General features: G+C 52.2%; 1 protein-coding gene across 4 annotated transcripts, besides 5 other annotated features; it reads left to right on the top strand.

Moving 5' to 3' along the window:
- The first annotated feature begins 1 nt into the window (after position 1).
- SPATC1L (spermatogenesis and centriole associated 1 like) lies at positions 2 to 23,301 on the top strand. 4 transcript variants are annotated; one of them, XM_005261188.6, is made up of 5 exons: positions 2 to 105; positions 1,612 to 1,837; positions 15,803 to 16,153; positions 22,394 to 22,545; positions 22,756 to 23,301. In XM_005261188.6, the coding sequence occupies exons 2-5, from the start codon at positions 1,645 to 1,647 to the stop codon at positions 23,080 to 23,082; spliced, it is 1,023 nt and encodes a 340-aa protein (XP_005261245.1). In that variant the 5' UTR covers positions 2 to 105; positions 1,612 to 1,644; the 3' UTR covers positions 23,083 to 23,301. The 4 variants fall into 4 exon arrangements, with proteins under 4 accessions (XP_005261245.1, NP_001136326.1, NP_115637.3 ...); NM_001142854.2 differs by having other exon boundaries at positions 687 to 1,837; NM_032261.5 differs by lacking the exon at positions 1,612 to 1,837.
- Positions 733 to 1,336: an enhancer, noted in NCBI's record as "H3K27ac-H3K4me1 hESC enhancer chr21:47603039-47603642 (GRCh37/hg19 assembly coordinates)". NCBI's record gives its function as "activates a minimal SCP1, AML or CMV promoter by ChIP-STARR-seq in naive H9 embryonic stem cells {active_cell/tissue: H9 hESC(naive)}" and the evidence as "EXISTENCE:reporter gene assay evidence [ECO:0000049][PMID:30033119]".
- Positions 1,337 to 1,940: an enhancer, noted in NCBI's record as "H3K27ac-H3K4me1 hESC enhancer chr21:47602435-47603038 (GRCh37/hg19 assembly coordinates)". NCBI's record gives its function as "activates a minimal SCP1, AML or CMV promoter by ChIP-STARR-seq in naive H9 embryonic stem cells {active_cell/tissue: H9 hESC(naive)}" and the evidence as "EXISTENCE:reporter gene assay evidence [ECO:0000049][PMID:30033119]".
- Positions 3,757 to 4,360: an enhancer, noted in NCBI's record as "H3K27ac-H3K4me1 hESC enhancer chr21:47600015-47600618 (GRCh37/hg19 assembly coordinates)". NCBI's record gives its function as "activates a minimal SCP1, AML or CMV promoter by ChIP-STARR-seq in primed H9 embryonic stem cells {active_cell/tissue: H9 hESC(primed)}" and the evidence as "EXISTENCE:reporter gene assay evidence [ECO:0000049][PMID:30033119]".
- Positions 13,270 to 13,770: an enhancer, noted in NCBI's record as "H3K27ac hESC enhancer chr21:47590605-47591105 (GRCh37/hg19 assembly coordinates)". NCBI's record gives its function as "activates a minimal SCP1, AML or CMV promoter by ChIP-STARR-seq in primed H9 embryonic stem cells {active_cell/tissue: H9 hESC(primed)}" and the evidence as "EXISTENCE:reporter gene assay evidence [ECO:0000049][PMID:30033119]".
- Positions 13,771 to 14,271: an enhancer, noted in NCBI's record as "H3K27ac hESC enhancer chr21:47590104-47590604 (GRCh37/hg19 assembly coordinates)". NCBI's record gives its function as "activates a minimal SCP1, AML or CMV promoter by ChIP-STARR-seq in primed H9 embryonic stem cells {active_cell/tissue: H9 hESC(primed)}" and the evidence as "EXISTENCE:reporter gene assay evidence [ECO:0000049][PMID:30033119]".

The following is a 26,888-nucleotide window of genomic DNA, read 5'->3' as shown; positions in this document are numbered from 1 at the left end:
TGTGCTTTCTGCCGTACGTCCCTTCCCATGAGGATGAGATGACCCATCTGTTGCATCCCGGCTGCTGATAAAACAAGACCCTCGGAGCCAAGAAACAACACTGAGGTGATTTACTTTCCCAAGTAATTGAAGCAGGGAGTCAGGGTGGGTTTCAAGTCGGTCGCACTGACTGAGGACAGACGCCTGCTCTAGCAGGGCCCCATGAGCCGCAGCCCTGTGTGACGGCCCGAGGGGCCGTGGCCATGGGTTGGGGGCGTCCTCAGTTACGTGCAGGCAGGAGCAGTGCAGTCAGGAACAATTGGTGTCTTAGACACGGGCGCTCGTGGTCTGAGGGGTGGACATGCACTGCTGGACCCTTCTCATCAGGGAGTGAGGTCAGTAGGTGGCCTCCAGCCCAGCCCTCAGGGCCACCCAGTGCTCCAAAGCATGTGGGGGCCATCGTGGGGCTGCCTCAGGCTGGTCTCCCCACCCTAGGCTGGTCTCCCCCGCAAGACTGGTCTCCTCCCCCAGGCTGGTCTCCCCCACAAGGCTGGTCTCCTCCCCCAGGCTGGTCTCCTCACCAGGCTGGTCTCCTCCCCCAGGCTGATCTCCCCGCCCAGGCTGGTCTCCCCCGCAGGCTGGTCTCCCCCGCAAGCTGGTCTCCTCCCCCAGGCTGGTCTCCTCACCAGGCTGGTCTCCTCCCCCAGGCTGATCTCCCCGCCCAGGCTGGTCTCCCCCGCAGGCTGGTCTCCCCCGCAAGCTGGTCTCCTCCCCCAGGCTGGTCTCCTCACCAGGCTGGTCTCCTCCCCCAGGCTGATCTCCCCGCCCAGGCTGGTCTCCCCCGCAGGCTGGTCTCCCCCACAAGGCTGGTCTCCTCCCCCAGGCTGGTCTCCTCACCAGGCTGGTCTCCTCCCCCAGGCTGATCTCCCCGCCCAGGCTGGTCTCCCCCGCAGGCTGGTCTCCCCCGCAAGCTGGTCTCCCCTGCAGGCTGGTCTCCTCCCCAGGCTGGTCTCCCCCGCAGACTGGTCTCCCCCACAAGCTGGTCTCCCCACCAGGCTGGTCTCCCCCACATGCTGGTCTCCTCCCACTGCCCTTGCCAGTCCCTCCCTCCTCAAGTGTGGGTGCCAAGGACGGACCCTGATGAACACCTGCACATCAGTTGCTGCCCTGGGTGCCAGGGTCCACAGGAAGCTGCACTGGGAACCCTGTGTCCTGGGCAGGTCCTATGGGAAGTGCAGCCCACATGTTACTCGGGTGAAGGCAGCGTCCCCACCCAGCTTGAGGACACCACACAGGGTGGACACCCGACCCTGGCTGGGCCGCTCAATGGGGAGTGGCTTGGACGCCCCTCTTGGAGTACAGTCGCTACATCCCGTAGCTGCCTAATGTCCTTGGCATTCTCGGGCCCTGGTCATAATGTGGGAGTGGCTGCCTGTGCACGCCACGGGCCTCCAGCTTCACTGCCTCAACGGGGCCATGAGCCATCGCGGGGGCAGGCAGGGTGCTGGGCACCTCATCACTAGGGCAGTGACATCACAAGGCGTGGAAGGCGGTGGTGGCTACGGAACTCCGTGCCTGGGCTGTTTCTGTGGTGCCTGCGGGCTCTGGGCTCCCACCTCCATGGGGCTGCAGGAGCCGTGAGGGACAAGGAGGGACGCACCCGCCATGGCTGAAGGCGGCGAGCTGATGAGCCGGCTCCTGAGCGAGAACGCGGACCTGAAGAAGCAGGTGCGCCTCCTGAAGGAGAATCAGATGCTGCGGCGGCTGCTCAGCCAGAGCTGCCAGGAGGGCGGCGGCCACGACCTGCTCCCACCCAGGGCGCATGCCTACCCTGAGGCCGGCTCCCCCGGGAGCGGAGGTGAGGCGCCGCCCAGCTCAGATGGCCTGGTAGATGAGGGGGTCGCGGGACGCCTGCTCCCCGGGAGTCGAGGGTGGCGGCCAGCTCCCTGATGCGGGAGGTCACGGGCACCTTTCACACCCTCAGGTCTGAGTAAAGCAAGACCAGGTGGTGGGTTCTGCTGTTGCCCTCAGGTGAGGCCCCTCCCCTCCCCTTCGGTCGCTGGCGAAGTGGGAGTGGTCAACCGCTGGCAGGTGGACTGGTCAGCTGCAGTCATGGAAGTGTCCCCATAGGGGTAGAGCAGGTGGCGCGCAGGCTTGTGGGCCTCCAGGGCCCCAGGCAGCTCTTCCAGGCTGGTCCTGGCTGGCAGTTTGCTCTGCTGCATGTGTCTCTTCTCCTGGGTCAGGGGCGAGGGGGGTGTCAGACCAGCCACACGAGTCCCATGAGTGCTGTGTCCCATCCACTCATGTCCCCGGCCAGAGCCAGGCCAGCCCCATGGTGGGAAGGTCCCACCCTGGGGAGGCCTCAGAGCCACCGGCCAGGGGAGCAGGTAGGGACAAGTGGGCGCCTGTCCCTGCGGGGCTGGGAGTGTGGAGCCATGATCCACTCACCACATAGCATTGACTCCGACCTTCTGTGGCTTTTTACTGAAAAAAGTATATATATAGGGTTTGGTCACTTTCTGCAAAGTAGTAGGCTTTATTCTAAAAGGTTTGGGAAAAACATTACCCGTTCCTGCATGTGATTTGGGGTGGGGCTGACAGATGTACCCTTGACTTTTTGTTGGGATGGTGGGCAGAGGACAGAGTCCCTGACCCAGCACTGCCTGGGATTCCCACGGCCAACCTCAGCTTCCCACCGGGCCGGGCCCGGAAAGGACGTGGTCAGCCTGCCTGGTCCTGGACGATGGAGCAGGCAGCCTCGCCAGTGCCCGTGAACACTGCTGTCTGCGAGCACGAGCCATGCCCGGGAGGCCAGCTCTGCCACTCACCAAGGGGCCGCTCCAGCACCTGTGCTGGGGGTGGGGGAGGTTGCTTCCTGAGTCCTTCTCAAACGCTGGCCACCACCCTCAGATGTGCACTCTGAGCAGGCGCAGTGTGCAGGAGGCACTCTCCGCAGCCAGGCCCCAGGCCCTGCTCGGAGCTCCATGGACAAGCCTGAGAGCGAGCGTGTCTGGAAGCAAAGAGGGGAATCCATGGCATCGTCCCCACACCTTTGGTCTCTGGTGACAGGCAGGGGCTCCTCGCAGGGAGCTGGGAGGAGAGCACCTCGCCAGGATGTGCGGGGACAGTGTGGCTGGGGAACCTGGCGCCTGGGGGCCATGCTGTGCGAGGCCCCAGGTTCTGCGTCTCCATCAGCGGCCACTGAGCCCCACGCTCACCACAGGGCGTTTGCTGGGCAGACCTGCGCTTACGGTGCTGGGCCACGTGCAGGGTCCCGTTCACAGCACTTGTGAGGCCCGGGCACTGTGGCTGCAAAAGGGCCCTTAATCTGTTTGGCGTGTGTGGACCGCCGCAGGCTGCGTGCCCCGGGCTGCGTTGCTGTCCTCCTCCTCAAGAAGGAATCACCCTGGGCCGGACCTCAGGGCTGGACAGAGTGCTGGTGCCTCCCCTGGCAGGAGAGGGGCAGACCCTCAACCCTTGCCCAGGCTGTGCAGTCCCCAGAGGGACCCTTGTCAGGGGCTGAGTCCGGGCGGGGTCTCCATGACCACGGCTGCTGCCCCTGCCCTTGGGTCATCTTGGCAAACCCAGGTCTTGCTGGACACGGGTCTTGGGAGGAGCCTCAACCTGAGGCCAGCAGGCCTTCCACAGAGGGCCTTGGAGCCCCCGCCACAGGGTGTGGGGCAGGCTCAGTGTGGCCCGGGCTGGCAGCGGGGAGGGGCCTGGACAAGACCACCCTCTAAACTCTGCCACTTGAGTGGCAGCGTGTGGTGCACCCTTAATGCTCTGGGCCTCAGCATGTGCTTGGGAATGTACCTGGGGCTGTGGGACGCTGCATTCAGGACCAGCCCTCAGCAGAACTGGGGTTGGGAAGACCAGCACTGAGCTTCTGCAAAAAAGGAGAAGTTTATAAACAAAGGAACCACCACCAGCAATGTCTGCATGTTGCCAAGACTTCATTAGCATCTGTGTTCAAAACAGGATGAGTAAAAACCTGCTTTTCTTACGGATTCAACAACACGTGCTCATGGTAAACTTATAAACGCCATGGAGGGTGCAACGTTTAAGCCTCAGGCCACGCCTCCGGCCCCCTCCGCAAAGGCAGCCACAATCAACGTTCTCTTGGGTTTTCTCTGGAACTTTAGTGGAGATCTGTGTGTCTGTCTGTGTATCTTTTTGGTCCACCTACACGGGATTGTGCTGTTCCGCAACTTGACTTTTCCCCCTTAACGATCCATTTCGCGGCATTCCCCACCAGTCCTTATCTGCAGATCTCCCCGGCACACTTGAACACTGGGCTCCTTCTGTGGGGGCCCCAGGCAGGCAGCACTGTTCCCAGTTCTCTGCGACCGTGGACGCCGCCGCCGTGGGTGGCCTGCGCAGGCGCCCTGTGGCTTTGTGTAGGGGATCCCACACCTGGGTCCTCGGGTCAAAGGCTGTGTGCATTTGAAATGTTGAAACAGACACTGTCAAACGCTCTCTGAACGGTCCCTACACCCCACTGATGGAGGAGGAGGGCACTGCGCCGGCATCGTTCCCACGTCACAGGAGGGCTCATCTGTCCCCGTCAGCTGGGGAGCGAGGTCTCCAGGTCTTCTCACCCAGGTTTACAAGTGAGTGACGCGAAGGGCCAGTGGGAGCAGCAGTCCTCTGCCTCCCCTCCCAGCTGCCCCATCTCGTCTCCCTCGGGATTGTCCTGGTCCCTCCAGCACGGCCACGATGCCACTCGCCGTGTCTCCACTGGAGAGGTGTCCCCTGGAGGACAGCCAGGCCCCCCCAGATTGCCCACTCGCTCCCTAGTTGTTGGTGGTGGATTGTCAGATGATTTCCAACAGTGGTGAGAATTCTCTATGTGCAACTCCTGGTCACTCCTTCCGTCTGACATGACAGAAGATTGTCCCTGTGTTGTTAGGTGTACTTTAAAATGGCCCTGCAATATTGCCGATTCGGATGAACCACAATGTAATGAATTCTCCCTCAGTTTGAAATTAAAGTTTTTCTTCCCCTTGAGGTAAATAGCACCACAAAAAAGGTTTTAAGAATTTTTATATTTAAGGTTATTTCCATTGGATTTCTTTTTTTGGTGTGTGTGTGATTTTTTTTACTTTTATGGAGATGGGATCTTCTATGTTGCTGGTCTTGAACTCCTGGGCTTAAGGGATCCTTCTGTCTCGACCTCCTAAAATGCTGGGATTACAGGTGTGAGCCACCGTGCCTGGCCCATTATGTTTTTTTCTTTTTCAGACAGGGTCTATGTTCCCCAGGCTGGAGTGCAGTGGCAATGATCATGACTCACTGCAGCCTCGACCTCTGGGGCTCAAGCAATCCTCCTACCTCAGCCTCCTGAGTAGCTTGGACTACAGTGCTTGCCACCATGAGCGGCTAGTTAAAAATTTTTTTTTTTTTTTTGTAGAGACAGGGTCTCCCTATGTTGCCCAGGCCAGTCCCAAACTCCTGGGCTCAAGCAATTCTCCCACCTTGGCCTCCCAAACCATTGGGATTACAGGCTTGAGCCACTGTCCAGCTGGATTTATTTTTAAAAAATAGAATCATTGATTCAGAAGGCAGGAGTAAATGGTTTTTTGTTTGTTTGTTTTTGAGACACAGTCTGGCTCTGTTGCCCAGGCTGGAGTGCAGTGGTGTCATCTTGGTTCACTGCAACCTCTGCCTCCTGGGTTCAAGCGATTCTCCTGCCTTGCCCTCCCCAGTAGCTGGAATTAAAGGCACACACCACCATGCCTGGCTACTTTTTGTATTTTTAGTAGAGATGGGGTTTTGCCATGTTGGCTAGGCTGATCTTGGACTCCTGATCTCAGGTGATCCACCCACCTCGGCCTCCCAAAGTGCTGGGATTACAGGCATGAACCACTGCACCTGGCCATGTATTTCTTTTTTAAAAAACTTTTAAGTTCAGGGGTACAAGTGCAGGCTTATTACATAGGTGAACTTGTGTCATGGGAGTTTGTTGTACAGATTATTTTGTCACTCAAGTATTAAGCCTAGTACATTCGTTATTATTCCTGATCCTCTCCCTTCTCTCACCCTTCACCATCTGGTAGGTCTCAGTGTCTGTTGTTCCCCTCTATGTGTCCACGTGTTCTCGTTGTTTAGCTCCCACTTATAAGTAAGAGCATGTGGCATTTGGTTTTCTGTTCCTGCATTAGTTTGCTGAGGACAATAGCCTCCAGCTCCATCCATGTTCATGCAAAGGATATGATCTCATTCTGGTTTTTTTTTTTTTTTTTTTTTTTTGAGATGGAGTTTCACTCTTGTTGCCCAGGCTGGAGTGCAATGGCACGATCTCGGCTCGCTGCAACCTCCGCTTCCCGATTTCAAGCAATTCTCCTGCCTCAGCCTCCCAAGTAGCTGGGATTACAGGCATGCACCACCATGCCCAGCTAATTTTGTATTTTTAGTAGAGATGGTTTTCACCATGTTGGTCAGGCTGGTCTCGAACTCCTGACCTCAGGTAATCCACCTGCCTTGGCCTCCCAAAGTACTGGGATTACAGGCATGAGCCACTGCTCCCGGCTGATCTCTTTCTTTTTTATGGCTGCATAATATTCCATGGTGTCTATGTACAACATTTTCTTTATCCAATCTACCACTGATGGGCATTTAAGTTGATTCCGTGTCTTTGCTATTGTGAATAGTCTGCAGTGAACATATGCGTGCATGTGTCTCTATAATAAAATGATTTATATTCCTTTGGGTACCATTAATGGAACCCAACCAGTAATGGAATTGCTGGGTTGAATGGTATTTCTGTTTTTAGGTCTTCGAGGAATCGCCACACTGTCTTCCACAATGGCTGAACTAATTTATGCTCCCACTAACAGTGTATAGGCGTTCTTTTTCTCTGCAACGTTGCCAGCATCTGTTGTTTTTTGACTTGTTAATTATAGCCATTCTGACTGGTGTGAGATGGTGTCTCATTGTGGTTTTTATTTACATTTCTTTAATAAGCAGTGATGTTGAGCCTTTTTTCATATGCTCGTTGGCTGTATGTATGTCTTTAGAAAAGTGTTCATGTCCTTTGCCCACTTTTTAATGGGGTTGTTTGTTTTTTTCTTGTAGATTTCTTTAAGTTCCTTATAGATGCTGAATATTAGACCTTTGTCAGATGCATTAGTTTGTAAAAATTTTCTCCCATTCTGTAGGTTTGCTGTTTACTCTGTTGATAGTTTATTTTGCTGTGCAGAAGCTCTTTGATTAGATGCCATTAGTCAATTTTTGCTTTTGTTGCAATTGCTTTTAGCATCTTTGTTGTGAAATCTTTGCCCATCCCTATGTTCTGAATGGTATTGCCTAGGTTGTCTTCCAGGGTTTTTATAGTTTTGAGTTTTACATCTAAGTCTATAATCCATATTGAGTTGATTTTTGTATATGGTGTAAGGAAAGGGTCCAATTTCAGTCTTCTGCATATGGCTAGCCAGTTATCCCAGCACCATTTATTTAATAGGGAGTCCTTTCCTCATTGCTTGTTTTTGTCAGATTTGTTGAAGATCAGGTGGTTATAGGTGTGCAAACTTATTTCTGGGTTCTCTGTTCCGTTCTATTGATCTATGTACCGTGCTGTTTTGGTTATTGTAGCTCTGTAGTATAGTTTGAAGTTGGGTAGTGTGATGCCTCCAGCTTTGTTATTTTTGCTTAGGATTGCCTTGGCTATTCGGGCTCTTTTTTGGTTCCATATGAATTTTTAAACAGTTTTTTTCTAGTTCTGTGATTAATCTCAATGGTATTTTAATAAGAACAGCATTGACTCTATAAAATTACTTTGGTCAGTATGACCATTTTTATGATATTGATTCTTCCTATGCATGAACATGGAATGTTTTCCCATTTGTGTAATCTCTGATTTCTTTGAGCAGTGTTTTGTAGTTCTCCTTGTAGACATCCTCCACCTCCCTAGTTAGCTGTATTCCTAGGCATTTTATTCTTTTTGTGGCAGTTGTAAATGGGAGTTCATTCCATTTGATTTGGCTCTTGTCTTGATTGTTGTTGGTATATAGGAATGTTAGTGTTTTTTGCACATTCATTTTGTATCCTGAGACTTTGCTGAAGTTGTTTATCAGCTTAAGAATCTAGGTTGAGACTATGGGATTTTCTAGATATAAGATCATGTCATCTGCAAACAGGGATAGTTTGATTTCCTCTCTTTCTATTTGGATGGGCTTTATTTCTTTCTTTGGCCTGATTGCTCTGATCAAGACTTCCAATACTATGTTGAATAGGAGTGGTGAGAGAGGGCATTCTTGTCTTGTGCCAAGTTTTGAGGGGTTGAGTTTTGATGTTGGTTGTGAGTTTGTCATACATAGCTCTTACTATTTTGAGGTATGTTCCTTCAATACCTAGTTTATTGAGCGTTTTTAACATGAAGGGGTGTTGAATTTTGTTGAAAGCTTTTTTTGCATCTATTAAGATAATCATATGGTTTTTGCTTTAGTCCTGTTTATGTAATGAATCGCATTTATTGATTTATGTTGAACCTACCTTGCATCCCAGGGATAAAACCTATTTGATTGTGGTGGATAAGCTTTTTGATGTGCTGCTGGATTTGGTTTGCCAGAATTTTGTTGAGGATTTTTGCGTCAATGTTCATCAAATATATTGGCCTGAAGTTATCTTTTTTTGTTGCATCTCTGCCGGGTTTTGTTATCAGGATGATGCTGGCCTCATAGAATGAGTTAGGGAGGAGACTCTCCTCCTCAACTTTTTGGAATAGTTTCACCAGGAATGGTACCAGCTCTTCTTTGTACATCTGGTACAATTCAGCTGTGAATCCATCTGGTCCTGGCTTTTTTTGGTTGGTAGGCTATTTATTACTGACTCAATTTTAGAGCTTGTTATTGGTGTGTTCAGGGATTCCATTTATTCCTAGTTCAGTCTTGGGAGGGTGTATGTGTCCAGGAACTTATCCATTTTTTCTAGATTTTCTAGTTTATGTGTATAGAGGTTTTCATAATATTTTCTGATGGTTGGTTGTATTTTTGCGGGGTCAGTAGTAATATATCCCTTATTTCTGATTGTGTTTATTTGAATCTTTTCTCTTTTCTTCTTTATTAGTCTAGCTAGTGGTATATCTATTTTATTAATTTTTTCAAAAAACCAGCTCCTGGATTCATTGATGTTTTGAATAGTATTTTGTGTCTCAATCTCCTTCAGTTCAGCTTTGATTTTGGTTATTTCTTGTTTTCTGCTAGCTTTGGGATTTGTTTGCTCTTAATTCTCTAGTTCTTTTAGCTGTGATGTTAGGTTGTTTGACTGAGATCTTTCCAACTTTTTGATGTGAACATTTAATGCTATAAATTTCCCTCTTAACACTGCCCTAGCTGTGTCCCAGAGATTCTGGTATGTTGTATTTTTGTTCTCATCAGCTTCAAGGAATTTCTTGATTTCTGCCTTAATTTCACTGTTTACCCAAAAGTCATTCAGGGGCGGGTTATTCAATTTCCATGTAATTGTGTGGTTCTGAGTGAATTTTTTAGGCTTGATTTCTAACTGGGTCCGTTGTCGTCTGAGAGATTGTTTGTTATAATTCCAGTTGTTTTGCATTTGCTGAGGAGTATTTTACTTCCAATTATGTGATTGAATTTAGAGTGTGTGCCATGTGGCAATGAGAAGAATGTATATTCTATTGTTTTGGGGTGGAGAGTTCTGTAGATATCTGTCAGGTACATTTGATCCGGTGCTGAGTTCATGTCCTGAATATCTTTTTTAATTTTCTGTCTCAATTATCTGTAATACTGTCAGTATGGTGTTGAAGTCTCTCACTATTATTATGTGGGAGTCTAAGCCTCTTTGAAGGTCTCTGAGAACTTGCTTTATAAATCTTGGTGCTCTTGTGTTGGGTGCATATATATTTAGTGTAGTTAGGTCTGCTTGTTAAATTGAGCCCTTCACCATTGTGTAATGCTCTTCTTTGTCTTTTTTGATCTTCATTGGTTTAAAATCTGTTTTGTCAGAAACTATGATTGCAACCCTGCAATCATAGTTTTCCATTTGCTTGGTAGATTTTTCTCCATGCCTTTATTTTGAGCCTATTTGTGTTATTGCATGTGAGATGGGTCTCTTGAAGACAGCATACCAATGGGTCTTGGTTCTTTATCTAGCTTGCCATTCTGTTTTTTTTTTTTTTTTGTTTTGTTTTTTGAGACAGAGTCTTGCTCTGTCTCCCAGGCAGGCTGGAGTGCAGTAGCACAATCTCGGCTCACTGCAACCTCTGCCTCCTAGGTTCAAGTGATTCTCCTGCCTCAGCCTCCCAAGTAGCTGGAATTATAGGCACCCAACACCATGCCTGGCTAATTTTTCTATTTTTTAGTAGAGATGGGTTTTCATCATGTTGGCCAGGCTGGTCTTGAACTCCTGGCCTCAAGTGATTCACCTGCTTCAGCCTCTCAAAGTGCTGGGATTACAGACATGAGCCACCATGCCTGGTCTGTTTGATGACCTTGAGGTTTTGATTGTGGTATAAGGTGGATTCAGCCAACTGGCTTCATTTATGGAATATTTAAGGGGCCAGTGCCCAGCTGCCAACTCCTGGACTCTGCATGCTCTAGCTCTGGGGGACTTGTTTTGGGCCCTGACTTTGTTCTCTGGCTCCTTGAGGTTTGGAATCCACTGCACTGGGGGGCTGAGGTACTGCAGCTACAGCAGAGTGGCTGGCAGATGCAGAGTGCCTGCCTTCCTGTGGGGGTTCACCACAGTGGTGGAGGCAAAGCAGCTGGGGTGGGGATGGGGGGCTCCTGTTGGAGACTGTGTGCAGTTACTCTGGAGGTACTATAGGCATGGGTGGGGTGCTGGTTGGCACAGGTCTAGGTGCCTTTTCTGTGCCCTGCAAGCAGGAGTGATCGCTCAGGGTGGGGGAGGATCCACTGTTCTCTGCTCAGTGTTAGGTCAAAGGCAGGGTTCTGGCGGGTATGGGGCTTGCTGGCTCTGTGTCTGCCAAGGCTTCACCTGCAATGGAAGTCTGTAGGGAAAGGGGAGGCCCACTGGACTCCTGCATGCTGGTGGGGGAAGGAAATCAAAACCCACCTGTGCAGACATCAGCAGAGTGATGTGGGGAGTTGCCTGGGCCCAGGGGAAGCTACAATATGAGGAGGGAGCAGGCAGGCTGGTGTGTGGCCGTCGGGGCTGTCTCACTGGAGCTCTCCACTGGCCAGGCACAGTCTGCTGGCACAGAAGCTATGGTGAAGACCCCCAGGGCACCCAAGACTGCCCTGCAAGCAGGCATGGCCAGGCTGGGGCCCCAGGAGAGGCCAGCAGACGAAGGGGTGCTCAGGTTGGACTGGTCCCATCTGATGGGTAAGACCACCCTGCAGAGAACAGGTCTGACAGTTCCCCTAGGTCCAAAGTCTCCTGTGGGAGCAAATCAAGCCTGGGGGACGGCCGTCCCTGGCTGTGTTCCTGCACCAGACCCTCTGGGTTCTGCTTCAGCTGGCTGCTGCCCCCATCACTTCTCTAAGCAGCTCTCCCTGCCAACTAGAGTGTCCATGGTGGGCAAGGGGTCTCCCCCAGCTGGGGTTCCAGAGGCCCATGGCAACAGTGGGTTGCTCCTTGCCCGTTTAACTCCCCCATTTCCCCAGAGCTGTTGTGGGTCCAAAAATGAGCACCAGTGCTCAGTAGTCCCAGGCAGGTTCCCAGCTTTCTCCCCTTCAGCCCAGCTTCTGTGTGCTCCCTCCATCTGCCCTCAGCACCTTCCCTCTGAAGATGTGTTAGAAGCTCACCAGTCATCTCAGGCCCTCCGTGGGAGCTGTATCATCTGGCTGCATCTGGCCGGCCATCCCGCCCTTCCAATCCACATGAACTTCTTATTTCTGTCTTTGTCCTTATTACTCAGAACTCGGGCCTTGGCCTTGACTTTCATGGGGCCTCCTCCAGGGAAGGTGAGAGAGGGTTTTGGCCGCATCCTGGTCCTCCTGACCAGCTGTGGGAAGGACCAACGGTCCCATCTGCCCAGAGGAGGGAGGTTTGCACAGGCTGGATGCTGTGGAAGAGTCCTTCCTGTTCTTATTTTTGGAAAACAGAAAATTTGAGAAATGGCTCATCTTGTTCGGTGTTTGTGAGCCTATCTCTGTACCAGTGGAGGTATCTCAGCTTCTTGCCAGGGACCGTATCTGGTATCTTGCTACGCTGCACAGCCACTGGGTTCTGCACACCCTGCCTCTTGCTCTCCACCCCACCGCCTCGTGCTCTGCACACACCCCTGCCTCATGCTCTCCACCCCCATCTTGTGCTCTGCACACCTCCCCGCTTTGTGCTCTGCACAACCCCCGCCTCACGCTCTGTGCATCCTCCGCCTCACGCTCTGTGCATCCCCCGCCTCACGCTCTTTGCATCCCCCACCTCACACTCTGTGCATCCCCCGCCTCATGCTCTGCACTCCTGCCTCATGCTCTGTGCATCCCCCGCCTCATGCTCTGCACTCCTGCCTCATGCTCTGTGCACACTCCTGCCTCGTGCTGTGTGTTCTTGATCATGTTTGGATGAGACTTTGTGCAATTATTTTTGGCCTGGCCATGGTTTTTTTTTTTTTTTTTTTTTTTCTGGGGGTTATCTTTGTAGGAATTTGACATCAGAGTTGTGACAAATTTTGAAACCTAATTGAGCATCTTTTAACCTGTTCTACGGTTCCAGCCTCATTTGTATGATGTCGGGATTATGACTTGTTTGGGAACTTGGCACACTCACCCACAGACCATCCAGGCCTGCAGCCCTCTGGGGAATAATCATTTCATAACTTTTAGATTTTCCTTCTTTGTGTATTGGTTCATTTAGGTTTTCTACTTCTTATTGAGTCACTTGAAAGTAATTTTCCAGGCTATCTCCTTTTATTGAAATTTTAATTAATACATAATTGTACATAATATTCTTTTATAATTTGAAAAGTGTCTGGGGTGGGGGGTCTGTGAAGCCTGAGGACTCCAGGCCTCCCACGTGGCAGGAGGCCGGGCACACGCTGATGACTTTGCTTCTTTCGAACTTTTTTTCCTTGGAAAACATTTCAGAGGGAAGATTAGTTGGTTCCTTTGTAGGCACATTTTTTTTTTTTTTTTTGAGATGGATTCTTGCTCTGTCGCCCAGGCTGGATTGCAGTGGCACGATCTTGGCTCACTGCAAGCTCCAGTAGGCACATTTTAAGGTATAATTTTTTGATATGGCTCCGAACACTTTCTCTAATATGTATTTGCTTTATTGCTAGGAGAATACACATGACATGGAGGTAGAATAGAATTTCATAAGCCATAAAGGCATAGATAAGCTAAATTTGGCCAGGGATTGGGGAAATGCCACATGACCTCATCAGCCTGGTTGGGGAATATTCAGTCCTCATGAGGGTGTGGGGCCAGGAGGTGTTGGTGGGCATGGACCCTCCCCCTTGGTGTGGAAAGCAAAGAAAGTGAACACACCTGAGCCCAGCGTCAGACCACAGAGGATGTTCACAGAGCAGGAGGCTCCTCCCCATCCACAAAGGATGTTCACAGAGCAGGAGGCTCCTCCCCATCCACAGAGGATGTTTACAGAGCAGGGAAGCTCCTCCCCATCCACAGAGGATGTTCACAGAGCAGGAGGCTCCTCCCCATCCACAGAGGATGTTCACAGAGCAGGGAGGCTCCTCCCCATCCACAGAGGATGCTCACAGAGCAGGGAGGCTCCTCCCCATCCACAGAGGATGTTCAGAGAGCAGAGGGCTCCTCCCCATCCACAGAGGATGTTCACAGAGCAGGAGGCTCCTCCTGGACCACAGAGGATGCTCACAGAGCAGGAGGCTCCTCCCCATCCACAGAGGATGTTCACAGAGCAGGGAGGCTCCTCCCCATCCACAGAGGATGTTCACAGAGCAGGGAAGCTCCTCCCCATCCACAGAGGATGTTCACAGAGCAGGAGGCTCCTCCTGGACCACAGAGGATGCTCACAGAGCAGGAGGCTCCTCCACATCCACAGAGGATGTTCACAGAGCAGGAGGCTCCTCCTGGACCACAGAGGATGCTCACAGAGCAGGAGGCTCCTCCCCATCCACAGAGGATGCTCACAGAGCAGGGAGGCTCCTCCCCATCCACAGAGGATGTTCACAGAGCAGGAGGCTCCTCCTGGACCACAGAGGATGCTCACAGAGCAGGAGGCTCCTCCCCATCCACAGAGGATGCTCACAGAGCAGGGAGGCTCCTCCCCATCCACAGAGGATGCTCACAGAGCAGGAGGCTCCTCCCCATCCACAGAGGATGCTCACAGAGCAGGGGGCTCCTCCCCATCCACAGAGGATGTTCACAGAGCAGGGGGCTCCTCCCCATCCACAGAGGATGCTCACAGAGCAGGAGGCTCCTCCCCATCCACAGAGGATGCTCACAGAGCAGGGGCTCCTCCCCATCCACAGAGGATGCTCACAAAGCAGGAGGCTCCTCCCCATCCACAGAGGATGCTCACAGAGCAGAGGCTCCTCCCCATCCACAGAGGATGCTCACAGAGCAGGGGCTCCTCCCCATCCACAGAGGATGCTCACAGAGCAGGGGGCTCCTCCCCATCCACAGAGGATGTTCACAGAGCAGGGGGCTCCTCCCCATCCACAGAGGATGCTCACAGAGCAGGGGCTCCTCCCCATCCACAGAGGATGCTCACAGAGCAGGGGGCTCCTCCCCATCCACAGAGGATGCTCACAGAGCAGGGGCTCCTCCCCATCCACAGAGGATGCTCACAGAGCAGGGGGCTCCTCCCCATCCACAGAGGATGTTCACAGAGCAGGGGGCTCCTCCCCATCCACAGAGGATGCTCACAGAGCAGGGGCTCCTCCCCATCCACAGAGGATGCTCACAGAGCAGGGGGCTCCTCCCCATCCACAGAGGATGCTCACAGAGCAGGGGCTCCTCCCCATCCACAGAGGATGCTCACAGAGCAGGGGGCTCCTCCCCATCCACAGAGGATGTACACAGAGCAGGAGGCTCCTCCCCATCCACAGAGGATGCTCACAGAGCAGGGGGCTCCTCCCCATCCACAGAGGATGCTCACAGAGCAGGAGGCTCCTCCCCATCCACAGAGGATGCTCACAGAGCAGGGGCTCCTCCCCATCCACAGAGGATGCTCACAGAGCAGGGGCTCCTCCCCATCCACAGAGGATGCTCACAGAGCAGGGGGCTCCTCCCCATCCACAGAGGATGCTCACAGAGCAGGAGGCTCCTCCCCATCCACAGAGGATGTTCACAGAGCAGGGGGCTCCTCCTCATCCACAGAGGATGCTCACAGAGCAGAAGGCTCCTCCCGGGAGGCCAATTACAGCTGTGTGTTTGCACGGAAACATGGAAACAGGCCCTGTCCATCAATAGGGCAAGGGTTAAAAATTCAGTGTGTGTGTCTGTATGTGTGCTCATGTGTACAGAGTTGCCAGGAAACAGTTAAATGAACCAGGTAGCTACCAGATGGCTCAGGGTGGATAAATCTCAAAGAGATAATGCAGCAGCAAAAAGTTCAGTTGCAGAATAAAATGTGTAGGGTGCTACCATTTATGTACAACTTAAGCATATAAAAGTCATTCTCCAGTGTGTGTGGGCACACAGGCAGGCAGGAGGCACACGGAGGCCTGCCCGCTTGCTGTGCCCATAGACGCAGTGCTCCCACGGGCAGGATGGGCACCTGTGGCCACTTCACCACATCCAGCTCCTCCTTTTACACTTGAGGCCTGAGGGGAAGGAGGATGCTCTGAAGCCAGGGAAACCCCGGCAGGTGTTGAAGCTTGGGGTGGGGTGCATAGGGGTTGTTAACATGTTCTTTATACTTCCCAGGAATGTTTTAGGAGCATCAGCCTGATTTCTCATCCCTTTCCTCCCCGCCTCAGTTCCAGATTTCGGAAGGTTCACGAGTGTTGCCGACACGCCCTCCCAACTGCAGACATCCTCCCTGGAGGACCTGCTGTGCTCACATGCCCCCCTGTCCAGCGAGGACGACACCTCCCCGGGCTGTGCAGCCCCCTCCCAGGCACCCTTCAAGGCCTTCCTCAGTCCCCCAGAGCCACATAGCCACCGAGGCACCGACAGGAAGCTGTCCCCGCTCCTGAGCCCCTTGCAAGACTCACTGGTGGACAAGACCCTGCTGGAGCCCAGGGAGATGGTCCGGCCTAAGAAGGTGTGTTTCTCGGAGAGCAGCCTGCCCACCGGGGACAGGACCAGGAGGAGCTACTACCTCAATGGTATGGCCGGGTGCGGGGGCACCTGGGGGGGCCCCCAGTGCAGGCTGGCAGCTGTGGGGAGGGCATGACTGGGTGGTCAGGCAGGGCCGTTTCTCCATCCAGTCACACAGAGTGGAGGGAGGAGAGCCAGGCTGGGAGGCTGGGGTCCAAGGCTGTGTCTGTCCTAGTCTTTTGTCCATCTTTAAAGATAAAATGGGTTGCTTATCTTCTTCTTGGGAAGTTGTGAGAGTTCTTTATGTGTCTGGATATGAGTCCTTTTTTGGGTGTATGTTTTGCAGATACGGTCTCCCACTCCATGGTTTTTCATTTTCATAATAATGTTTTTTGATGAGCAAAACTGTTTAATTTGATGATGTCCAATTTATTGATTTTTCTTTTGTATTTTATGCTTTTTATGTTCAGTTTAAGAAATCTTTGCCAAGCCCAAGGTCACACAGATTCTCTCCTGTGTGTTGTTCTAGAAGTTTTATAGTTTAGGTTTTACATGTAGGTCTCTGATCAATTCCAAGTTAATTTTCATATATGGTGTGAGGTTTGCATGTAGATATCCACCTGAGGCTCAGGCCAGCCTCCCACCTCAGCCTCCCAGGTATCTGGGACTACAGGTGTATGCCACCAGGCCTGGCTAATTTTTTGGTTTTTGTGTTTTTGTTATTGTAGAGATGGGATTTTGCTACGATGCCCAGGCTGGTCTTGACCTCCCGGGCTGAAGCAATTCGCCTGCCTCGGCCTCCCAAAATGCTGGGATTACAGGCATGAGCCACCATGCCTGGCCTGTCAATTTTATTTATCTTTTCAAATAACCGATTTTTTGTTACATTGATCTGTTGTATTGTTTTCTTCATTTAAATTTCATTTATTTCTTCTCTGATCTTAATTATTTTTCTTCTAATTTTGGATTTGGTTTGCTCTTGCATTTCTAGCTCTGTAAGATGAATCATTAGCTTATTTGAAGTTTTTCTACTTTTTTGATATAGGCACTCATAACTATAAACTCTTAGCACTTACAGCTATAGCTCTTAGTATGGCTTTTGCTGAATCTAGTACATAGTAGGTTTTGGTGTGTTGTGTTTCCATTATCATTTGTTTCAAGACATTTTTAAAATTTCCTTCTTAATTTCTTCACTGATGCACTGGCCATCCAGGAGCGTATTGTTTAATTTCTATGTGTTGGTATAATTTCCAAAATTCCTTTTGTTATTGATTTCATTTTATTCCATTATGGTCGGAGAAGATACTTGATATAATTTCAATTTTTTTGATTTTTAAAGACTTGTTTTGCAGCCTAGCATATGGTCTATCCTTGAGAATGATCCATGTGCTAATGAGAAGCAGGTGTATTCTGCACCTGTTGGATGAAATGTTCTGTAAATATCTATCATGTTCATTTGGTCTATAGTATAGATTAAGTCTGATATTTCTTTGATTTTCTGTCTTAAAGATCTGTCCAAGGGTGAAAATGCGTATTGAAGTCTCCAGTTACTATTGTACTGGGGTCTGTCTCTCGATTTAGCTCTAGTAATATTTGCTTTACATATCTGGGTGCTCCAGTGTTGGGTGCATATATATTTATAACTGTTATATCCTCTTGCTGAATTGACCCCTTTATCATTATATAATGACCTTCTTTGTCTCTTGTTATAGTTTTTGTCTTGAAATCCACTTTGATATAACTATGGCTGCTACTGCTCTTTTTTGGTTCTCATTTGCATGGAATATCCTTTTCTATCCCTTTATTTTCAGTCTGTGTGAGTCTTTATAGGCGACGTGTGTTTCTTGTAGGCAGCAGATGGTTGGGTCTTGTTTTTTTTTTATCCATTCAGCCACTCCGTCTTTTGATTGGAGAGTTTAGTCTATTTACATTCAAAGTTTCTTGGTTGTTTTTGACCAAACTCACATACTATCATTCATCGATTTGACTGTGCTGTAATTTTTTTTTTTGGAGACAGGGTCTCACTTTGATGCCCAGGCTGGAGTGCAGTGGTGCAATCTTGGCTCACTGCAACCTCCGCCTCCTGGGTTCAAGTGATTCTCATGCCTCAGCCACCCGAGTAGCTGGGATTATAGGTGCGTGCCACCACGCCCAGCTAATCTTTGTATTTTTAGTAGAGATGGGGTTTTGCCACATTGACCAGGCTGGTCTCAAACTCCTGACCTCAAGTGATCCGCCCACCTCAGCCTCCCAAAGTACTGGGATTACAGGCATGAGCTACTGCACCTGCCTATTTACATTCAAAGTTATTATTGATAAAGATTTACTCCTGCCATTTTGTTATTTGTTTTCTCATTGTTTTGTGGTCTTCCCTCCTCTTTATCTAGAAGAGTTTGTGTTGAATTGGTGTTATTTATTCCTTAAGTGGTAGAATTCACCGCTGAAACTACCCGAGCCTTGAATGGTCTCTGTGGGAACATTTTCCCCCTACAAATTCCATTTTATTGATAATGTCAACTGAAATTAAGGCTGTTGAGACAAATAATTCGATAAAGGTTTATTGGAAGCCAAATGTGAGGATCAACCCAGAGGAACACACCAACAAAGTTGAGAGTGTTCTGGAATCTAAGTCAGAAGGTTTCTATAGGAGAGGCTAGGAGGAGGGAAAGGACTCCTCATACTCATGTCTAAGTCAGAAGGCTTCTATAGGAGAGGCTAGGAGGAGGGAAAGGACTCCTCATACTCATGTTGTCCTTTTCTAGTCAGAAGGTTTCTATAGGAGAGGCTAAGAGGAGGGAAAGGACTCATACTCATATCTAAGTCAGAAGGCTTCTACAGGAGAGGCTAGGAGGAGAGAAAGGACTCCTCATACTCATGTTGTCCTTTTCTTTGGAGGGTACAACACAGAGGTTACAAGCATTGGCTACAGATGACAACATACAGGTCAACACATCTCTGTGCAAGACAGTCAGTAAACCTTTATGATTCAGGAATAAATCAGCATCTTTTCAGTCCATTAATCAGCACATCAGCAATCTGAGGAAATCATGATAAGATTCTTTACTCAGGGACCATTAATCATAAGACCTTCCCAAGCAGGCCAGTTTGGAAGTCTGTTTACTTTTAAACTGTCAAATGTGACCTGTAAGGTTATCAGATATAAGGCTATTCAGAGTATCTATTTCTTCTTGAGTGAACTTTGGTAGTTTGTGTCTTTTAAGGAATTGGTCAATTTCATCTAGGTTGTCAAATTTATTGGCATAAAGTCATTCCTAATACTTCCTTATTATCCTTTTTATGTCTGTAGAATCTGTGGTAGTGGCATCTCTAATTTCTGCTAGTGGTAATTTTTGTCTTCTTTCTTTTTTCCCCTAAGTCTGGCTAGAGGTTTATCAATGTATGGCCTTTTTCCTTTGAAGAACAGGTTTTTGGCTGGATCTTACAGAGCCCAGGTTGGACTAGAAATCATTTCTAGAACCTATACTAGAATCATTTCTCTTCTATAGGATGTTTCTTCTACCTCATTTTTGCCTTGGTGGGGGGATGGGAGAAAGAGCTTGATTCTTTTTTTTTTTTTTTTTCTTGAGATGGAGTCTCGCTCTGTCGCCCAGGCTGGAGTGCAGTGGTGCGATCTCGGCTCACTGCAACATCCACCTCCCGGGTTCAAGCCATTCTCCTGCCTCAGCCTCCTCAGTAGCTGGGATTACAGGCACCCGCCACCATGCCTGGCTAATTTTTGTATTTTTAGTAGAGATGGGGTTTCACCATGTTTGCCAAGCTGGTCTCGAACTCCTGACCTTGTGATCCACCCACCTCGGCTTCCCAAAGTGCTGGGATTACAGGCATGAGCCACCGCACCTGGCCAAGAGCTTGATTCTTGATGAGAGAAATACATTGATACAGAAGGAGGAGATTACACCTGCTCTTCCACACCCCTCATTGGCCCTAACACACTTCTGTGCAGTGTGTTGACATACCTCTTCTGCAGTCTTGAAAAGTGATTGGGAAAGAAATACACTGAAAACTACAAACATCACTGAAAGGAATGAAAGAAGACATAAATGACCAGGCACAGTGGCTCACACCTGTAATCCCAACATTTTGGAAGGCTGAGATGGGCAGATCTCTTGAGCCCAGGAGTTCAAGACCAGCCTCAGCAACAGGGCGAAACCCCATCTCTACCAACCCCCCACCACCCAAGTTAGCTGGTCGTGGTGGTGCATGCCTGTAGTTCCAGCTATTCAGGAGGCTGAGGTGGGAGGATCACTCAAGCCCAGAAGGTAGAGGTTGCAGTGAGCTGAGATCGTGCCACTGCACTCCAGCTTGGGTGACAGAGCGAGACCCTTTCTTCAAAAAAACAAACAAACAAACAATAAATAAATAAACAGAAAAACACCTTGTGTTCACAGATTAGAAGACTTTATATTGTTCAAAAATCAATAATTTTGATATGGATTACATTGGATCTGCAGATTCATGCAATCCCAATCAGAATCCTAGTGGCTTCTTTACAGAAATTGACAAGCAGAAACTGAAATTCATATAGAAGTGTAAGGAACCAGAATAAGTAAAACGATCTTGAAAAAGGAGAACATTGAGGGACTCATACTTCCCAGTTTCAAAATTGACTATAAAACTTACAGTTAACAAGACTGTGGTACTGCCATAACGATGGACATACAGATCAATGCAATGGAATGGGAAGGTCAGAAATAAAACTGTACATAGATGGTTTTCAACAAGAGTGCCAAGACAATTCAGGAGGGACTGAATACTGTCTAACGCGTGGTGCTGGAACAAAGAGGTATCCACATGCCAAGGAATGAGGCTGGGCCTTACTCCACACCACATACACAAATTAACTCAAAATGGATCAAAGACCTAAGAGGTCTCAAAGAGCTGAGGCCAGAAAACTTGTAGAAAAGACATAGGGGTAAATCTTCGTGACCTTGGATTTGGCAATGGATTCTTAGAGATCACATCAAAAGCATGAGCAAAAGAGAGAAACAGACAAATTGGACTTCATCAAAAGTAAAACAAAACAAAAAAACAAACTTTTGTGCTTCAAAGGACAGTATCAAAAAAATGAAAAGCCAACCCGGAGAATGGGAGAAAACATTTGTAAATTGTGCGTTTGAAATGGGACTAGTATGCAGAATATTTAAGAACTCTGACAATTCAACAGTAAGAAGACAAACAATCCAATGAAAAATCACTACAGGACCTGAATAGATATTTCTCCAAAGAAGATACAGTATATAAATGGCCAATAAGCACGTGAAAAGATGCTCGAATCACTAGTCGTTAGTGAAATGCAAATGAGATACTGTTTCCCGTCCTCCAGGAAAAAGATGGACAAGGTCATGTGCTGTTACGGACTCGGATGCCATCAGAGGCTGTCCTGGGGAGGGGGGTTCGGAAGCAGGTTTTGTGGGAGCATTGCAGTCTCCTAAGTAATGTTGAGGAAGTAATTAAAGTAGAATGTCCTGGGCCAGGTGCGGTGGCTCACGCCTGTAATCCCAGCACTATGGGAGGCTGAGGTGGGCGGATCACCTGAGGTCAGCAGTTCGAGACCAGCCTGGCCAACAGGGTGAAACCCCAGCTCTACTAAAAATACAAAAACTTGGCTGGGTGTGGTGGCACGCGGCTGTAGTCCCACTACTCTGGAGGCTGAGGCAGGAGAATCGCTTGAGCCGGGGAGGCGGAGGTTGCGGTGAGTGGAGATGGCGCCACTGCACTCCAGCCTGGATGACAGAGTGAGACTCTGTCTAAGAAAAAAAAAAAAGTCCTGCCAACCCAGCGGTCCTTTTCTCAGAGGTAGGAAAGAATGAAGCAGTTTTATTGAATAAACATTAAAGCAGCCTTTGATGCCCAGAGGTTGCCAAGACAGAAGAACTCTCCCCCTTCCTCCCAGCCAAGCCGACCGGCCCTGTTCCACGGGCGTCCTCACTGGAGGGGACCCGTCCCAACTCAGACCTCCAGGGCCGGGTTCCTCTGTCCTCGCAGGGGCCGACGCTGGGGCAGACTCCCGCGTGACAGGGGACCAGTCCCCACCCCCGAGATTAAAAGGTTTACCTCATCGCAAAGGGACAGAAGGGAGCCGAGGACAGGGGGAAGGGAAGGCTGGCTTGCCCTTTGGCACTTTAAGAAGCTCCTTTTCTTTCAGATTCTATTTGCCAGACAGTGGGGGGTGGCGGCAGGTGGGAGGAGGGGGGTGGAGGAGCCGCCCCCCACGTGGCCGAGGGCACCCTCGAGGGCAGTGGATCCTCGCGCTCCCCTGACCTTGTCCCCGGCCTTCCCTCCCCCAGAGATCCAGAGCTTCGCGGGCGCCGAGAAGGACGCGCGCGTGGTGGGCGAGATCGCCTTCCAGCTGGACCGCCGCATCCTGGCCTACGTGTTCCCGGGCGTGACGCGGCTCTACGGCTTCACGGTGGCCAACATCCCCGAGAAGATCGAGCAGGTGCGCCCCGTGGGGAGGGCGCGGCCAGGAGGGTGCGGGGCGCTCGGTCCGTCCCTGTGCGGCCCCCAGATCTTGGCTCCTGGCCGGGCACTGTCCGCAGGAGGGGACCCCGGGGACCCAGGCGGGCGGGGCAGGGATCGGCCCTGGGCCTGGAAGTCCCCGTCCGAGGGCCCCGAGCCCCCCACCCCCATCCATGCGCTGCGCCCGCAGACCTCCACCAAGTCTCTGGACGGCTCCGTGGACGAGAGGAAGCTGCGCGAGCTGACGCAGCGCTACCTGGCCCTGAGCGCGCGCCTGGAGAAGCTGGGCTACAGCCGCGACGTGCACCCGGCGTTCAGCGAGTTCCTCATCAACACCTACGGAATCCTGAAGCAGCGGCCCGACCTGCGCGCCAACCCCCTGCACAGCAGCCCGGCCGCGCTGCGCAAGCTGGTCATCGACGTGGTGCCCCCCAAGTTCCTGGGCGACTCGCTGCTGCTGCTCAACTGCCTGTGCGAGCTCTCCAAGGAGGACGGCAAGCCCCTCTTCGCCTGGTGAGCCGCCCCGCGCCCGCCGCCTTGCCTGCAGTAAACGCGTTTGTTCCAACCCGGGGCCGCGGTGCCTCCTGCGCGTCCCCCCGGAGGGGAAAGGGCCGCGTCCCCCGCGCGCGAGGCCAGAGAAGGCCCCGCTCCCACCGGTGCTGGGCCCCGACCGCAGCCCGCCGCTGCCCGCACCTGCGGAGTGCTTCTCACCCCTCATTAAAATCATCCGTTTGCATGTCTGCCTTTACCTCTGGCTCTTTGAGGGCGTGGAGGGCGCCTCGGCCGCTGCTCCGCCTGCAGGAAGCGCCGCTCGGTGCTCAAGGAGGGAAGCCAGGAAGGAGCCGCAGCCGGCAGGGGCCCCCTCTTCCCCCTCCCCCCTTCCCCTCCCCCGGGCCTCCACGCCCACCCGCTTTCCCGCCCGGGACGGCGAGTCCTGTCCCAGTTTGGGTTTCCCCGAATGCCGAGCTGGGGCAAGGACTTGGTTCTGGCGGATGGTTGCGCACCCCTGCCGGCAAAATGGAAACGCAGCCCCTTGTTCAAAAGCGAAGAATTCGAAAGGGCAACAGCCGCGTTACAGTGAACCCGGACCTTAGGGCTGAGCAGTGGCAACGCAGGCGGGAGAGCGCCGGGGAGCCCCGAGACCGTGGGGGTGCTGGGGGTGGGCGAGCACAGGGGAGCCCCGGAGACCATGGGGGTGCCGGGGGTGGGCGAGCGCCGGGGAGCCCCAGAGACCGTGGGAGTGTTGGGGGTGGGCGAGGACAGGGGAGCCCCGAGACCGTGGGGGTGCCGGGGGTGGGCGAGCGCCGGGGAGCCCCGGAGACCATGGGGGTGCTGGGGGTGGACGAGCACAGGGGAGCCCCGGAGACCATGTCAGGTGCACCTTGCACCATCCCGGAGCGGGGAGCTGGGGAGCTGACCCATCAATTCCCCTCCCCCTGGGTCATCTCCCTGCCGGAGGCCGGAACAGCGAGAAGACGGGCCCTCAGTGAATTGGCGGGACCTTGGGGCTGAGGAGATACCCAGTTCCAAAGTGCCCTGGAACGAGGGGCATTTACCGTGTCTCAGGGGAGTCTTGGCTCATGCTGCACAAGCCAGCACGCTCAGCCTGGTCCTCACACTGTCTCAGCAATAGTGGCGAGGATGGCAGGGCTGTCACACATTAACAGTTCAGAGCTCGATGGAGACTGCTGGGGACCCCACTCTGGCTGGTAGCTACAACATTCAGCTCCCAGGTGCAGATGGGCTGGATCCTGGGGTGCGGGCCCAACCTCATGCCCGGCAGACGAGGGGCCCACTGGCCTGAGAAGCTCTGGCTGGGTGCTGATTTCTGGCCTTACCTTTGAGGGTGGCCTGTGGCCACACCGGCAGTGGGCTGGCTCTGTGGCTGGGTGCTGATTTCTGGCCTTACCTTTGAGGGTCGCCTGTGGCCACGCCGGCACTGGGCTGGCTCTGTGGCTGGGCCAGGAGCTTTGGGCCCCAGGCCTAGGGCTGCAGCCACACAGTCTCGGCCAGGTGGTCCATGCCCCCTTCCCCTCGGTGCCAGCGAGTGGATACTTTCAGCAAGCCTGGGATAGGAAGGGCTGTGATGAAACGCACCAGGATTTATTTCAGTTGGGTGTGGTGGGATACAGACACAGGACTCCTGACTTTAAAGGAGAGTGTGTCACAAAGTACTGCAGACCCAGCTACTTAAACCACAGGAGGGCACGTACCGTGCCACACAGGGCCGCCCGGGGCGGGGCGCCGTGGCAACAGGACGCAGAAGGCGAGAGGGGAGAGCATGGCCAGAGGCTCTGTGGGGGTTTCCCTGGGAAGAGAGGCCAGGGAGGGTAGGCACGAAGGAGCAAGTTTAGGATTGGACAGGTTAATTTCCCTGGGCTCCGGGCTATGGGGTGGTGTCTAGTTGACCACCGTCCTGCCCCAGGGTGATTGAGGGCAGAGGAACATGGGTTTGGTGAGTGAGTCAGATAAGGGGTGGTTGGGTTTACAGGCTCCAGGTGGGTTGGCTTGTGCCTTAAAGGGGAGCTCTGTTTGCAGGCACCTTTTGCTGTCTCTAGGAATTAGCCAGTCCTGGGAGGGCAGTCTCCACCTAGCCAGTAAGGCCCCCGAGAGGTCAAAGCATTGTAAACCAGAAAACAAAAACCATATGAGTTATACAGGAACAGTCTGGTGGGCAGGTGGCATTCAGCCCCTGTGCTCTGGGTCTCTAGAAGAATGGGGTTCTCAGCCTCTGGCCATGGGTCCCCCAAACAGCCTTAGTGTCTTCCAGGCTCTTGGGCTTGGCTTGGAGTGGCCCCTGGGGGCTTTGGCTGGGGCGGTGCCCATGGCTCACCCTCTGTCCATATAGTGGGGCCCAAGTTGTCCACTGTGCTGGGCTAGCCTGGGGGGGCCCTGTGGTCAGAAGCTAGACCCCCACCCTGGCAGTGCCACCCCCTAGGCCCCTAAGCTGCAGGTGCACGTGGAACTTTCTGGAGGGCTCCCGTGCAGAGAGGGTGAAGCCCATTCCTGCACTTTTTCTTACTGTACTATTAAAATGAGGAGAAATGGGAACAGGGTGAGGAGGGTGGCCCTGAAGTGGCTGGCGTGGCCATGTCTCCTGGGGCAGCACCCGGGCCCTGGGCACCAGCTCTTCCATCTGTAGACGGGAGGGCAGTGAGCTTCTAGGGGATGATTTCCACCTCCTGGGACGGAGGTGGGCACCGGCCCAAGTGAACTCGGATTCTCCTGCACACAGCTTCCGTATTCAGTCATTTACTTATGGGCCCACTATGTTTGTCTCATACTCTGGGTTAGAAAAGTGTATGGCCTGCCTGGCCCTGGAATCAGTAGCCCTGGGCCTGTCACTGGGGAGAGATGGTGGAAACCCTGGTGTGGGCATAGCTGAGATTCTTTCTCCTGTAAGTGGGGTCCCTTAGGGTCCCCGATTCAGGAGCTATTTACAGCACCTGCCAGCATTTCTAATGTCTCAGTGCTGCCCCTGAGAACCAGCGCCGGCGTCACAACCAGCCCCATTCCCCCTCGTGTTCTCAGCTGTAGCCAAGCCCTGGTCCAGCAGTAGCTGGGTAGGAAATGCATGCAGCTCCTGCCGGGGCCTCCCGCCCCAACCCTCTCTCCTGACAGGCGATTTGCTGGGCTGGAGGACAGGGCCAGGTCTTGGCCTTGGCACCGTCCTGGGTCACGAGTGTATGGTTCTGGTCACTCTGCTGTGGTGCGAGGATGAAGGTGCCAGCCCAGTGTGGGCAACCCTCACAGCCAGAATGTTCCAGTGCCCCGCACCTCGGGACCCTGGATGTGTGCGGCTGCCGTCACAAAGTACCGCAGACCCAGCAGCTTAAACCACAGAAATTTATTCTATCACAGTCCTGAAGGCCCAGAGTACAAGATCAAAGTGTCTGCAGATTCTGTTTGTCTGAGGTCTCTCTGCTTGGCTTGCAGGCGGCCGCCTCCCTGCTTTGTCCTCCTGGCCTTTTCTCTGAGTGCATCCCTGGTGTCTCTCCCTCTTCTCACCGCCCTGTCCATCTCCACATCCAATCCAGTCGGCGGTGCTGGGGGTAATCCAGTCTGCCATGCTGGAGGTCAGGCCTTCAGCAGATGGTTTCTCGAGGGAATGCAGTGCGGCCCTCAACAGACCCCATCCTCCCCTCCTGGCCTCCAGACATGGATCCCTGACTCCATCCTCCCCTTGAGGCTCCACAGAGCTCTGACCCCATCCTCCCCTCCTGGTCTCCCTCCAGACACAGATCCCTGACCCCATCCCCCACTCCCAGCCTCCAGACGTGGAGCCCTGGCTGGGGAACTCTGTGTGCTCCCAGCCTCTGAAGG

The sequence above is a fragment of the Homo sapiens genome, chromosome 21 (assembly GCF_000001405.40).
Source record: "Homo sapiens chromosome 21, GRCh38.p14 Primary Assembly".
NCBI classification, from domain to species: Eukaryota; Metazoa; Chordata; class Mammalia; order Primates; family Hominidae; genus Homo; species Homo sapiens.
Note: the sequence above shows the minus strand (reverse complement) of the source record. Positions and strands in the feature narration are given on the sequence as shown.